This window comes from Homo sapiens, chromosome 4 (genome assembly GCF_000001405.40).
Source record: "Homo sapiens chromosome 4, GRCh38.p14 Primary Assembly".
Classification (NCBI taxonomy): domain Eukaryota; kingdom Metazoa; phylum Chordata; class Mammalia; order Primates; family Hominidae; genus Homo; species Homo sapiens.
Genome location: NC_000004.12, coordinates 156,846,173 through 156,862,208, shown reverse-complemented (window position 1 = coordinate 156,862,208; position 16,036 = coordinate 156,846,173). Strand labels below are relative to the sequence as shown.

The 16,036-nt window shown below is 32.7% G+C and overlaps 1 protein-coding gene across 7 annotated transcripts in view; it reads left to right on the top strand.

The window, feature by feature from the left end:
- The window catches only part of PDGFC (platelet derived growth factor C), a 211,346-nt gene that overhangs the window by 109,591 nt on the left and 85,719 nt on the right, over positions 1-16,036 (top strand). For 4 of the 7 annotated variants that reach the window (NR_036641.2, XM_047415970.1, XM_047415969.1 and 1 more), the window contains 2 exons: positions 720-780; positions 11,793-11,988. Coding sequence is in view for 3 of the 7 variants with exons in the window: in XM_047415969.1 (XP_047271925.1) it covers positions 720-780; positions 11,793-11,988 (257 nt within the window). In the remaining 4 variants the exon portion in view is untranslated. The remainder of the gene's footprint in view (positions 1-719; positions 781-11,792; positions 11,989-16,036) is intronic. The other 3 variants (NM_016205.3, XM_017008455.2, XM_047415972.1) reach the window with 1 other exon arrangement.

The following is a 16,036-nucleotide window of genomic DNA, read 5'->3' as shown; positions in this document are numbered from 1 at the left end:
AGGATTTATTTTATTTCTATAAAATGGTTGCACCTTTGCTTTTAAAATTTCTTCCTGGAAAGCTATTGGAGGATTTGTATTAATTTGAAACAAAAGAAAACAAAACCAATTTTTACACTAGCAAATGAATTTCTAACTTCAAGGTCCCTTTATCAATAGCAAGAAGAAACTTATTCTGCCTAAATCTGAGAAGTCTTTAACTCACCATCGGGAGGACTACAAAACCTTGGCAAGCAAGAGTCACCTTACCATATGGAACTTTTAAATATGTAGTTTCTGGGACAAGATATTAAGGGATAATAATTGCTACTTTGCAGGGTTACTAAAAGCATTAAAAGATAATGTATATGAAAGTATCTGGCTAGTAACCTGCAATTTTGAGTAGATACTCAATAGCTATTAGTTGAGTTAATGAGCAAGATCTGGGAAGAATGAAGAGTCAAGGGAATAAATAATGCTCTTTCTTTTATTCCAAATAATGCTCTTTCTTTTATTTTTTTCTATGCCAGCCAAGACCCGCTCCCTTAAAGATTAGTACAAATGTCCATGAATAAAAGTTCATTGACTGACTCAGATAGTCATTTTTACAAGCTTATGTGTCTTTCCAATCCTTCAAATTTTTTTAACTTCCAAAATCTGAAATTGAAGATTCTGAACCACCTAGATTAGGATTTGAGGTCACCAAAAGACTCAATTTTACTATCTCCATCTACTGGCAGGTAGGAACTATATCCAAGCATCTGGACTGGCATAGAAAAGAGGAGAAAGAACATTTAAAAGGTAAGCAAAACGTATATTTTTATTTACTCTGAGTTTTTAAGCTTTTCTTATCAGAAACTGTTGTACTTTCATGTAATTAAGCTTGATACAATGAACCATATTAGAGCAAGAGAATTTGTTTAGGTAGTACAATACTCTTATCTGATTCTTCAACATGAGCAAGTGTGAATGTGAATGCCTTCCTTTCATAATGGGAGTACTTTCTGTCTTTGCACTTAGTAAGTTTCCATGTAGTCATTCCAATGCCCTCTTACTGTTTTCACTCATACTCCTAATAATCTTTAAACCGCAAAAATGTCTACATTCCCACTTCTGTATATTCTCTGACATGTTAGAGATAGTTTTACCTGGCAAATTATTTTTATTACCATCATTTAGAAAGAGTAGAAGTATGTTTCTCAAAGTTGAATTTATTATTCTGTTGTTTCTTATATTTTTTCATTGTCTGTTTATAATTATTTTAATTGGGCAGAAAGAACTAAATAAGTTTCCTGTTAATTGACCAGTAATAATTACATCAGTTCTTTTTAAAATTGATACTTTGCTTTTCCCTCAAAAATCTTGAAATTTCCTTGGTTTACTTTTCACTATGATCAAAAGTTGCAGTATGATAACTGCTATAAAAAATGCTTTGAGGGTTTATGTGGTTGTGCAGTAATAGATCTTTAAGTTTAAATCATATATTTTAAATAGTTTCATATTTTAAGTCTTACATTATGCATTATGCATATCTTTCTTTAAAAAGCCATATCTACACTTGAGAAAAGAAGTAAAAGACATTTGTCAAGATAATTAGTATTATTACTATTGCTGCAATTAAATAAGTATAATTTGTGCATTTTTTTTTCCCAATTAGTTTTCTCCTCCGCGCCCCGTGTCAGGTGTTTGTTCATATCTTTGCTTTCTTTCTTTAGATAGTGGTACATTTCTTTTAGAGGGATAGATGGATTTATAAGGAACATAGTGGAGAATTTTCAACTACAGAATTAGATTTCATGGAAAAGAATTGTCAAGGAAATGGTATTCCAACATGTCTGTTCACTTGCTCGAAGGTCGTGAATGCAGCCGGTCCATTTGCTGGGTAGGGGATTACACTCACATAAACAGTGCAAATGCCATAAAGGAGGACACTCAGATCTTCTTGTGGCATCTGACAATGTCCAGTCTGACAGATAACTCTTCAAAGTTGGCCCTGAGATCAGAAGACAAGGAAGTAGGTATTTTTCAATAATGTTGAAGGAACTAGTGATAATGGGGTGTTAGAGAATAATCTCACCTTGCTAACAGAATTTTGGTGAGCCTCATAAAGTCAGTTCAGTCTCTATTTTGAATAAAAGCATATGTCTTCTCAAATTTATTCCATTCTGTCTCAACTCCTCTTTTAGTACCACTGTCCCTTGATCTTCAGATCAGTTTGAAAGCTGTTGTCATAAAGCTAGCTGTTGCTGAAGAATTTTGCTAGTTGTTACAGTCAAGCCAATTCTAGAATAAAGGATACTTAAAATCTTCATGTTTAAGCTTTTCACTCTTTTTTTTTATAGGCCAGCTAGATGATAAAAATAATGTGCACTGAGGTGGAATAACAGCACAATTGGGTATTCTCATTGGTATTAAAAATGTCTTTGCTTTGAGAAATAAAATTTAAGCAACCCGTCTTCCCACAAACTATCCAAGCTTTCTTATTAATTTATGGTTTTAATTTCTTTAAAAACCTAATGTTTATATTTTTCGTATTTTTACATCACTTTAAGATTGACAAAAATTGTTACAGGTTGGGAGTGTGGGGTAGGGAGGTAATTTTTCTAGCAGGGCTGAATGGATAGGATGTTCACGAGCATATTTTGTTTAAACTTAGCCTTTGAGGGGCAATCATGTCCTAGGATAATTGCCCTTTATTTATACCTGATAGAGTTATGTGGAATTACTGCTGAAACCAAACATCTTGCTACAAATATAACTTCCAAATTTCAAATATCATGTATGCAATTGTAAACACTTTAGCACTTATTGACATTATTTAATCACATAAGATAGAAGGACATGATTTGTATAGAAGTGACCAAATTTAGTATTTTTCTTGCCCTCAATTAGCATTCCTAAGAAAATCATAGGTTCATCATGTATACATTATATACATTCACTTTTGAAGCTAAAATGCTAAATGGAACAGGAAGCAGTAAACTCATTTTCAGCATTAATATATTAATCTGAATATAGTAAGACTAAAATGAATATGTTTCTATTTTCTTATTTTTTAAAATTCATTTGTTTTGCTCAATTCAGAGCTTAAAAAGAGAATTTTAAGTATCTTTTAAATATTCATTAAAAGCATAAACTGATGGGCTTATTTGCATTTTTTCTATGAAATAGTAAATTTGTTTTGGTTATCTTTTTGTTGTTACTTTCATTGGTAAATTTTAAACATCTTCCTGTCAAAATGTCAGTACTTTATCTAGATGTTGTATGCTCACAAAGTAATAGGTAGCTACTTTCCATATTTTAAATTGCTTGTAAATTCTGCTCTGAATGTTGTAAATTATATGTCCAACACAGGTAGAAAATTAACAGATGCTTAATCTCCAAAACAGATGAAATTCTTTATTGAAAATATTTTCCTTAAAGTTGTTTGTTTAAAGGATATATAATGTGAATTTGTGGTTAACCACGTTAGCCAGTTTTTGCCACAACAGTATTATTAGGTGTAAATGTATTATTCTGCTTCAAATATTTTAGAGTGCCTAATATTTTATGTGAACTTTCTAATTTTAATTCAATAAGAGAGTTGATTACATATTTAAAAAATCAATAGTGAACCTTTAAGGTGAATGCTTCTTTTGTAATATGAATTACTCCTAATTTTTTTTCTTCCACATTCTGGTTTTGGTCTCTTTAATGTACAATTTAACAGAGTAAAAAACTTATAGTATTGCCAAACATGTTTCACTAAGTGGGGTGTGCAATTGTGTGTGTATGCAATTATATTCATTACTAATTGGTATGTAATAAAGGCTTTGAGGAGATTCTGTGTGTATATACTTGGCCATTTATCCTATTTCATAATAGGTAAGAAGATTATTGCTTATTTTTCTTCCATAATTGAGCCTTCATTTTAAAACGTCATATCCCATTGTATAGAACAAAAATAAGATTATTTTTTACCATTACCTTAAGGCAAAAATGCCATGTTGTCAAATCATTAACATTTCTATATCACATGCTTCAGTGCCAGAAAAATTTTATAGATCCTCTCTGCTGAGTCTTTTATGATGCAAATTGGGATATTTTCAAGGGCAGAAATAGTGGCACGCATAATAATAATCGCACCAGGATAACAGACTTAAATAAGGCTATTCCAGGTAAACCCAAACATATATTCACTGTATAATTATTTTGGCTGTAAGTATAGAAAGTTCTAACTCTTATTGGCTTAATAATAAAAGTTGTTTATTTATTCACAACACTGAGAAACCTAGAGTTGCAGTGATTTTATTGTGTTATTTGAGATCGGATCTAGCTGCATTTTTCAATACTACCGTACATCTGCCCACTTTTGTGCATCAACTTTTTCATTAGGCTAGAATCCATTATGATGGCTAAATGGGTGCAGGAGTTCGAAATCTCACTTCCATACCCGAAATTGTCTTGTCCCCAACTTTTCGGAAAAAGCCATTGTATTTACTCTGATTGGCCTATCTGAATGGGCTTATATTGATTTTCTAGGAATACTTCTGGCTAGGGTCAGTTCGACCTTTATTCAGTGGCTACTTCATTGTGGTGTTGAGGGATGATGAGAAGATGCTCGCTATATTAACATTCCTTCATTGCATGTGGAAGCTTTGTTGTGTACTTCCTGAACACAGGCCCCCATTTCTTACCAAAGCTCATGGACAAGAGGCTGGTGGTTGAGTTCCTGTACTTCTTATTAGATTCATGAGAACTTCAAAGTGTTTTTTAAAGACAGCATCAAGTCAAAGAAATGGTAAAATTTCTACAAAGTTGCTCCTTTTCCTCCTTCTTTAATTAAGCTGTAGAAGTAAATCAGAAATTTGAAATCACTATCTAAAAATCACTGCTTCTTGCTTAATCAATTTGATGTTCGTAAAATCAGAAGGCTTATACAGATGACCAATGATGTGTTATATCTTACATATGTCTTCTTTTTGATGACATCAGGAAACCTAGTATGTGTGGGTAAATTTTCTCTCTTATTCTATTTGAGTTAAACAGAATATGATGGCCAGTGTTCTTCCATTTACTTATATACTGATTAGTAATTCTTTTATACAAATATCATTTCATTTGAACTTTAAATCAACCTGTGATTATCTCCAGTTTATCAAAAAAAAAAAACCCTCAGATATCAAGTGGCTTGCCTAAAATAACAGATTTTATTATCAAATAGATCATATTTTACAGTTTAGATAAAATAATGACTACAACTGTGGCATTCCCAAGGTGTGGTACATTATAAAATGTGTTCTATTTTCAAAATAAGTAGGTATATTAAGAAAATGGCAGATCTCAATAATGCATACTCTAAGTCCTATCACTTTCTGCTGAAATATGTTTGTAGGTTATTACGGATGAACTTTGAGTAAGACATCAAATGTAAACTAAGGGACTTTATTAGGGTCTATAAATTGTAAATCATATTATCTTTATCATATACAGCGTCTGGAAGTTCAGGAGTGAAGGATGAATTGTTGAAGTGATATGTAAAATTGTTTTCTGCCACGTTTGTATAATCTCAAGTTTCTTTAGAGTATCAATAGGTATTAGGTGCTGCCATGTGCCAGGAACAGGTTATGGGCTTCAGTAAATACAGCTGACCTTCTAGGAATTGTAGTGTGGTAGAAAAGTGAATCCATAATTATGATTAAAATATTCACTCCTAAAGGGAGTGTACACCAGGAATCAGCTATTGCCTTCCAAAAGAGGTAACATCTGAAACTGGCTCGTTTACTAGTATAGCTGGTCCAGGAATGAAACCAAATTACAACCCTAGAGGTTATCGCATGAAGAGGACAGGACTTTATTTTTAAGCACCTGTAGAAGTACTTGAAACATAATAGGTTCTCATTATATAATTTTTGGTTATTTCTTAACTTCAGGAATAAAGTGATTAACTGTCTTCTGGGATAAGCTCAGGAGCCACAACTGGACATATTCTAAATAATTGTAGTAGTTCCGTGGTTTACTGAATATAGCAATCACTTTTTTTACTTTTCCTTAGTGAATATTTATTTGTGTAATTGGAATAGTTGGAGGTAACCAACACTAGCTTTGTTGTTTTATTGTGCTATTTGTCTTAAAGATATGGGAAATGATGATAAAGCAGAAACTAGAGTCTCTTTTCCCTCTAGCCCATCATTATACTTTTATATTAATAGAATTTAAAATATTAAGCATGTAAATGGAGTAATTCTATATAGTTTGCAATTGATGGAGAGAGATTTGTTTGCTCTGTGGACCTCAAGTATACCTTCTCTCTACAGAATCAAATAAGATTAGGATGAAATTACTCTGCATTTCCTAGGCAAAAACACACCAGCTCATGGAGCCAGTGAAACTATATGTGTATATATGTCAATGATTTTAACTAACAGTTGTTAAAAGTGAATTTTGTTAGTTGAGAATTAAGGAGATTGAAAGCAGATGCAGAAATAGCTATATCCACAAACTAGCAACATTAGGATGTAGAAAAATTATCACAGGTGAAAAAAACAGTGAGCATAGCAAAGCACAAATTAAATGGGTGAATGTGTGTATTATCAATTTATAGAGTGAGAATGGGGAATACATGCATCTCACTCTAAGAGAAATGCATTTTTACATAGTTTGAAAATAACACATATTTGCAAGCAAATACATCCAAAATGTCACAGGACATCCGTGAGGCCGATCTGTTTACTGGTGACATGTTGCTACAGTCGTGCCTACATGAAACAGAGGAGCAGAATCCACAACTGCCAAACTAAACCAAGATTCAAGACCTACTTCTTTCTACCTAATTTTAATCTACCATTTCTTTTCTGCTAAAATCAACTTAAAACATTAGCATAAAGACATGGATGATTTTTAGGAGTTGCATATTATCCAGAAACTTCCTCGTTAGTGTTATCTTTATTAATAATGTAGCATTTTGAAGGATTATAATTTGAATTGCATTTTATGATTCTCTTACTACCACCTTCTTTCACCCATAATAAATATTTTTTTAAAGGAACCAAGAGTATGTAATGCATGGTAAACATTATAGAATTGCTTTGATTTTAAGTGCTAAACTGACTACTTACAGATATATAGTGATTCTATATAACTGAATTGTATATATACACATATAGTCAACAGTTTTACAGTATTTACATTATTAGTCTCTCTTCTTTTCCTTTTTTAAATTTTTTATTCATTTTAGTTTCCAGTACCTCTACCTTAAGAGGAGTTGGGTATGGTAATCTGAAATTGTCTATAATTTTTAAAATGTAGTATTTATACATATTTTCATTTTTCATGTCAAGCTCGTTATCTAAGATATACAAGATTGATTCTTGTTAAGTGTGCAAGGATCATGTGATAAATATTTTAGTGATTTGACTATAAACTTTTTTTTTGTTTGGTAATTTGAGTATACTGTCTGTTGGATATAGGAAAAGCAAATGTTCAATAAAATATTCTCAAGTGGGTACTTTTCTCATCCCTAAAATACTAGTAAAGTTATATGTTCAAAAAAATGACTGTTAAAACAACAGAATATAAGCACAGTGTCTTAATTTGGTAAACTTAATGTTTGTTGCTTCTTTTTCTTTCTTCTTCTGATTATAGGCCTAGTTGCTTGAGATTTACATAAAACTTTGACAGTCATCTGCAAATCATAAGTGTTTGGTGGCAAACCTCCTTGCATTTCAAGGTGAATTTTTTGGGAGCAGTAATTTAACTTAAAAGAAAATTTACAATTTTTTTTTAACCACAAATAAGGCCCAGATTTTCAGTCTTTAAATTATGTTTAAATATAGTCCAATTTAATAGTGAATTATAAAGGAAAAAATGTAAACACAAACTTAAGTATATATATTTTAGCCATGCGCTTTATGACTGAAGATATAAAAATAGAATTCAGATCTTTTAATAGCTATGTAGTTTTCTCAATTATATGCCACACACTGCTATATTTGTAATGAGTGCCTTGGATAAAAGGCATTTGTTTTGAAGCAAAATAGGGTAGATGCTAGGTTTTAATAAATCTGATGGGAAAAAATAATTCATTGAGAATACTAGTTGCCAAAATGAGAAGGATTATTTTTATAAATTACTATAAGTACCTCTGAAATATGTAGATTATCGGAAGAAACTTTGGACAATAGGGAGAAACTCATTTTTGAAAGAAATATTTGAAAATAGTTAATGAATTTACTTTTCAAGAGTTTATGATTATTACTTTCTTTTTAATGTTTTGCTTTTTTATTTTTGAGGCAAGGTCTTGCTCTGTCACCAAGGCTGGAGTGCAGTGGTGCCATCACAGCTCACTGCAGCCTCAACCTCCTGGGCTTAAGCGATCCTTCCACTTCAGCCTCCCAAGTAGCTGGGACTGAAGGCACATGCCACCATGTCCAGCTAATTTTTGTTATTTTTTCTAGAGACAAGGTTTCACCATGTTGCCCAAGCTGGTCTCAAACTCTTGAGCTTAAGGGATCCACCTGCCTTGATCTCCCAAAATGCTGGGATTACAGACAGGAGCCACAGTGCCTGGGCCGAGCATTATTTTCTTAATAAAATTTGTCTATGTGGAGAATTCATCTAACTTTATAGTTCCTTCTGTATTCTTAGGAGATACACTGGTGCTAAATAATATGCGTAGAAAAGGCGTTAATTATTTTATATATATTATTACAGCCAATAGCAGTATCAAATATTAGCATCTATTAAGAGGAAACATGTTCTGTATAGGGTGCTTACTGCTGAGGAAAAATTTTAGCACTGAGAAGATTGGTAGCATTCAGTTATTTAATTATATCTCATAAATAAAAACGTTACAATTATTTGGGGTAGTTTAGGATTAAACAGGTTGTCCTTTAACCTTAGTCATAGTCTAACTAATATACAACCCTTCACATTGTGTCTTTCAGGAAGTTTCCTAGAGCAACATTCTTAAATTGTATTTTATTAATGTGAAATAATGTTAACATATTTTGATTAACATAAATACTAAATGAAAAGTAGCTGCAGTTACTGCAATTAGTGCTGACAATTGTGAGCAAAAAGAAATACCCATAATTCAAACAGCTTTGTGTGCGATAGAAGGTGTATTAGTTTTCTAATATTATGTAAGAAATTTCTACAAATTTAGCAGTTTAAAATATCCTTTATCAACTTCAGTTCTGTCAGTTAGGATTCCAGGCACCACGTGACTGAATTCTTGTTCAGGGTCTTAGAAGATTCAGATGAAGGTGTCCACCAGACTAGACTCCTTTCTGGAGGCTGTAGAGAACAGTCTGCTTCCAAGCTGACCAGGGTCCTCAATCTTTCAGAACTGAGTTGTTCATTTCCTTGCTGGCTGTCATCCTTAGACTGTTCTCAGCTTCTAGAGGCTTCCCACATCCATTGGCACATGGCTTCCTGCATTTTCAAAGCCAGAAATAAAGAATCACCCTCCTGTTGAAGTATCTCTCACACTTTGAAATTTCTCTGGGTTTAGGAAGGACCCAGTTTATCTTGTGGGCTCACTTGATAAAGTTAGACCCACCCAAATATGATTAACTCAAAGTCAACTAACCTAATCATGGGAGTAATATCCCATTAGATTTCACACACTCAAGGAGAGGATTATGAAAGGATGAGGGACAATTGGAGATCATTTTAGAATTCTACCTATCATAAAGGAAGTGAGATCACTAGTGCGAAGATAAAAGAAGATACAGACTTTAAGATATTGAGTAGAGAGACAGAGAATAGGTTGGTGGAAAGGGACTTAGGTTTCTGGAAGTAAAATAAATGAAGAAGAGGAAATGGCAGAAAGCTATAATACCAAGACAAAAGGAAGAAAGAAGAAACATGTAGGGTTTAATCTGAAATGTCGTCATTTCATAGGACTTAGTAAACTCTGTTACACAGCTTGATGGCACATATCCAAAAGGCAGTGAATACAATGATACTTACCTTATTTTGGAGAGTAATCTCTCCATGATGTTACTGCAAATACAGTGTTCAGTGTTGTGCAGCATATCTCCAAATTATGAATACCAATGAGGCATTGCTAAAGACTGTTGTGATATTATGAGTATATAAAAGTTGCACTATATAATTGTCAGATATCCTACCATGCATATCACTTCATGTGTTCAATGTCCAGTCTAAGGCTTTTACTTTTTTTAAAATAAAATAGTATTAGAAATTCAATAAGGGATATTTAAAAGTTTTTGTTGTTGTTGCTGTTGTTGTTGTTTTTCTCATTGGAAGTTAGCATCCTTACACGGATTTTTTTTTTTTTTTTTTTTTTTTTTTGAGATGGAGTCTCATTCTGTCGCCCAGGCTGGAGTGCAGTGGCGGGATCTCCCCTCACTGCAAGCTCCGCCTTCTGGGTTCACACCATTCTCCTGCCTCAGCCTCCGGAGTAGCAGGGACTACAGGCGCCCGCCCCTGCACCCCGCTAATTTTTTGTATTTTTAGTAGAGACGGGATTTCACCGTGGTCTCGATCTCCTGACCTCGTGATCCACCCGCCTCGGCCTCCCAAAGTGCTGGGATTACAGGCGTGAGCCACCGCGATGGTCCTTACATGGATTTTTATGGCCTGGAGCCTATAACTAGCCTAGTTCTTACATTTTTTGGAGTGGTTCAATGACTGCTTATTTTATAACTTATCAATTGTGGGTTTCGTCTCATTATTAACTCTCAACTGGTTGGGTATAGGAATACTTCCTTTCTCAGCAGTGCCAACTTGCCCTTTCTCTCAATTCTCTCCCCAACATTTTAATAAAAAGGAGGAGAGATATTATTAACAGTATATTTTAGCATTTCATAAATGTGAAAAGGTACCTTGCCTAATAAACTTGGAAGCCATTTTGTACTATACTCTGCCCTTGGAGATTTAGAATTCATATTTGTGTATTCATGCATTGAGAAGTGCTGCAACATTTTTTATATTTTAATATTTTCATGTACTGCTAATAGATCCCTTATAACAAGAAATTGAGACCATTATTTTGATCTTGCTTTACTTTTCAGAGTCATTTAAGATTTAGGTTATTTAGTAATTCCAGTTCACGTGAAGCTCTGAACTTGTATTGCATACCTTTTTTGTTTTTCCCAGAAGTTATGGGTCCAAATAATGAGCTGTTATTAAGAACATTTTGCCAGCTCAATTCCTAAAGCAATGGTAATAAAAAGAGGTAAGAAGCTGTAAATAGTGTGTCGTATGGTATGCTAATTGACATTTCAAAGATCAGTGAGAAAAGCTGAAAACAGTCTTTTCTACCTATCCACTTCTGCCTCTTTTATCCTCACATTTCACTTTCTTCAAATATCTTAATACCCTTCTTATTTTGCCATATATAAAATTAATGCAAATCTTTGAATAATTAGTTGACTGTAGCTCTGCAGCTTTAAGTTAGAGAATTAAAATCATTATTTGTATTTTTTAAAATAGAATTATATCTAGTGTATTTTTATTCTAAAATGTCTCATATTTGATAACTTCTCAGAAATTTGAATGTTAACTCAGCTTTATTGTGATTTTAGGACTCCAAAAGAGTTTGTAGTTGACGTTTCAGTAATTAAATTCCTTAAAAGAGTAATTTGCTATGTTCCTTCAAGTATAAATATGAAACAGGTTTTTATTCAATAATGATAAAATAATCTTTTTTCTGGATCAGTTCTGGAAAGAGTGGTATTTGGCATATATCATATAAAACACACTCAGCACTTGTCTGAGGTAAAGTGTGAATAATAAACACTTGCTTTGATACCTATAATTTTTGAAATCTAAATGTATGTCTATGTCTATGTTTTTTGCTTTAGGAGTACAAGATCCTCAGCATGAGAGAATTATTACTGTGTCTACTAATGGAAGTATTCACAGCCCAAGGTTTCCTCATACTTATCCAAGAAATACGGTCTTGGTATGGAGATTAGTAGCAGTAGAGGAAAATGTATGGATACAACTTACGTTTGATGAAAGATTTGGGCTTGAAGACCCAGAAGATGACATATGCAAGTAAGTGATCATACTTGAAATCCCAACAATGTAACAACTGTTAAAAGTCTTTCAAATTGCTTAATTTTGATGATCTGATTTTAAATGACATCTTTTGTTTTATTTTTCTGATGATCTAAGAAATTTCCAGCCTTATTGAAGCTATGTTTTATTTGAAGTCTTCATTTAAAATCGGAAGACACATTGTGCATACAAAGTCATTGTTTTCTACCTACTTCTAAAATTATTTAATATAATTTATGGTAAAAAAGCATACATGGAATAAAACCATTTAAAATAAGGATTAGAGAATACAAAGCTGTATAAAGGACTGTAGTTGTGCTAGAAAACCAAAGTTGCGGTTACTGCTAAAAATCTTATATTTGACCTTCCTCATAGCCAAATCAATAAAATAAATGATAAGCTACTGAAAGAAAAAGTTCTATCCACAGGTACATATTACCTGGATACATACCCATGCACAGGACTAAGAAGTTTGAATATTACATCACAAAGAAGAAATATAGTTCAGAAAGCAGCATTAGATATTTAGGCTAACGTTATGCCTTGCCAGGTAGGAATTCGTCATAATTATCCTAGAAGCATTCATGAACCAAAGTCAGCTGGAGTATTTCACCCACGCAAAAGACCACCTACTGTATGTCACACAAATATTACTCTGTAAATCCCATATGAATACACTTGTCAAGGTTGGGTGGTCTTACTGAAGATTTTTCACTTCAATGACATTTGTATAACATGAAAATATTTTACTTGAACTTCACTGGATTTTTTATTTTCTCTTTGATATACAAGTTAAAAGAGAATTTTCATCTCATGGTATATTACAGATAAATATTTCAGTACAAATGAAATAAACTTTGTACTTGCTGTCATCACAGTTTTTATCTTTAGCACTTACATAGTTACATATTCTTCACATTTGTTCTTTCTGTGACTGTGCATTTCATGTTGTTGTTTTTCCTTACATCTATAATTTTAGACTTTGAGAACTAGAAGCTACCCTGATTATCTTTAGAAGACTACCAGAGGAGTAAAGCAGATGCCCTAGATCTCGTTCAGATTTGGTACCTAAACAAATGCTAAACCCATTTTTCCTAACACCTATTTAGGCAGTTTTTCATCATGCTGTACTGCACCTCTTGTCTTTTTTTATATATAAACATAATCTTGTCAAAAATTGCAAGGGGTGTAAGATTTTGCCCTACTTGCAAAGTAGTAAGTAATCCTATCCCTTTTGTGGATGCTAATGAAGACAGGAGACTTCTGGGTCAGAGACAAAGGACTTCATTACAAAAGTAGCAGTCACTGGAGTATTATTAGCACTTTCTTGTGCTTTCTCCTAGAGTTCCAGTTCCCACAGGTTAACACCAAGAGAGCCATGTGACACCAGCTACCCATATTCCTTCCTGATTACACCTTCTTGTCACTGCAAATATAATCATTGTCCTAAATTTTGTTACTCATTCTCCTGATTTTCTCTATAATTTCATAAGAAGTACATATTTCTCTATGTGTGATCTTACAAAAATAGTTAATTCCTTGGCTGTTTTGAAATATGTATCAATGGAGTAATACCATGTGCTTTCTTTTATGATTTAACATATGTTTCAGAACAAGCAAAACTAAAAAAATTATGCTTTAAAAATTAGTTCATATTGAGGCAGATAGCTTATTAGATCATTTGTTGTCTTTGACGTATAATATTTCATCATAGAAATAATCAACCTTTTTTGTGTCTTCTGCTTTGAGGAACGTTTGACTTGTTTCCAGTTCTCCTTGTGCAAAAGAGCAATAAAACTTTGAGACTTTCTGACAATGGTTTCAGTGTTTTAAGACATTTATATTTTCAGCTTTACTAGGTAGAGTTAAATTGTTTTTTCAAAATTATCAGTTTATACATTTCCCAACAATATACAAAAATTTTTGTTGCACAGCATTCTCACCAACTTCTGATCTGTCTTTTAAAAAATTGTAATATGGGTAAGTGTGAAATTGTACCTTATCATTGGTTTTATTTTGTTTTTCTGATTACTAATAAGGTTGAGAAATTTTTATATTTATTATCAGCCATTCATATTACCTTTTTATCATGCCTGCTTATGTCTTTTGCTCCTTTTGTATTGATCTGTTTGGCTATTTAAATTTTGCCTTTAATTTTTCTTTATTTATCTGGAATTTATTTATGTTGGTGGTATGAGGTTTTTCAGGAGGGTATCCAATAGTATGCCAGCATCATTTATTGAATAGTCATTGTTTTCCCCAGTGAAATGCAAAGTCAGCTGACTTGCAGATCGGGTTTCTATATGTAGTCTGCTCTGTTTCTTCTGTTACTTTGGTCAATTTTGTTTTTCTTAAATGAATGACACTGTCTTAACTGCTGTAGCATTCTAGAAGCTTTGTGATAAGCAAATCTCACCTTATTTTATTCCCATTTTGGAGCATTGTGGATGTTTTGCTTTTTAGTATAAAAATAGGTATAAAAAATGTTGTAAAGATAGTACAGAGAGTTTTGTATACTTTTAACCCAGGTTCCTCCAATGTTAGCATCCTACATACTTTGGCATATTTGCATAACTAAGAAATCAATATTCATACAGTATTATTAACTAAACTACAGGTCTTATTTGGATGTCAGCAGTTTTTCCAGTTTGTCACCTTTTCTGTTTCAGGATCTTTTTCAGATTAAACTCATTGCATTTAGTTGTAATGTCTCGTTAGTCACCTAGAATCTCTGACTGTTTCTCTTTCCTTGTGTCTCATGACTAGACAGTTTTGAAGAGTACGGTCAGGTATTTTGTAGAATGTCCCCCCAGTTTAGATTGTTCACATGTTTTGTCATGCTTACACTGAGATTATAAGTTTTGGGGAAGAATTCCAAATAGGTGATATGCCCTTATCATATCAGGAGGTACATACAACCAGCCTTACTTATTAGTGATGATGTTAGCTTTGATCACTTACGTATGGTGGTATCTGCTGGGCTTCTGCTCTGCTACGGTAATATATTTTTCTTTCATATTCTATTATTTGGATGTATGTAGCTAATTCTAGCCCACACTCAAGGAGATACTGATTACACTCCACCTCCTAAAGGGTATATGCATATATTATTTGGAATTCTTCAGCAAAGAAGGTTTGTCTGTCCTTCCTTTTTTCATTTCTTCCTTCTGTCATTTATATTAGTAAAAATTAATAATATTTATTTTATTATTTGTGTTATAAGCAAAATCTATCATTATTAACTTTCTTGCTGAAATTGTTCTGTCTGCAGCCGTTGGGACTAAAGGATTTGCTCTTAACATGTCAATATTGAGTATGATGGTTGATGAAGGTTTATGTTTTGTTTTCCTTCAATTTACTTTTTCATTTGAAGTGCTTTCCTTCGTTTTTATTTTGCTAAGAGGCATTTTCCCCTTAGGGAAAATATCTTTATTATTCTTTTCTTTTGGATTTAAAAGTAAGCTGCCAACATTATGACACTTTGTACCCACTGTGTGTTGTTTAAGAACAAGGATATTTCCCATCGAACATTAGTAGCAGTATCAAGTGAAATAAATTTAACATTAATATGAAACTCTTACCCAGTGTTTCCCATCATCCCCAAATGTTTTTTAATCATTTTTTCATCTTTTTGATCTAATAAAACATTATAATTGCATTTGGTTATTGTAACTCTTTCGTCTTCTTTAGTCTGGAAGAGTCTTCTTGTCTTTTCTTACCTTTCATGACATTGGTCAGGAATTTTGAACAATTCCTGACCATTCTACAGACTGTCTCTCAATATTAATTTATCTGAATATTTCTTCATAATTAGATCTCTCAATATTAATTTATCTGCATATTTCTTCATAATTAGGTCCTGCTTAAATATATTGGCCAGAATGCTCTTTGTAAGTATTTCTGATTGCTTATAATGTCACTTTCTTGCATTATCAGTGACATGAGTTTGATGACTATCCACCAGATTTCTCTGTTGTGGATGTGCTTTGTTTTTCCACATTGTAATTAATGTGATTTATGGGGATATACTTCAAAAACATGCAAA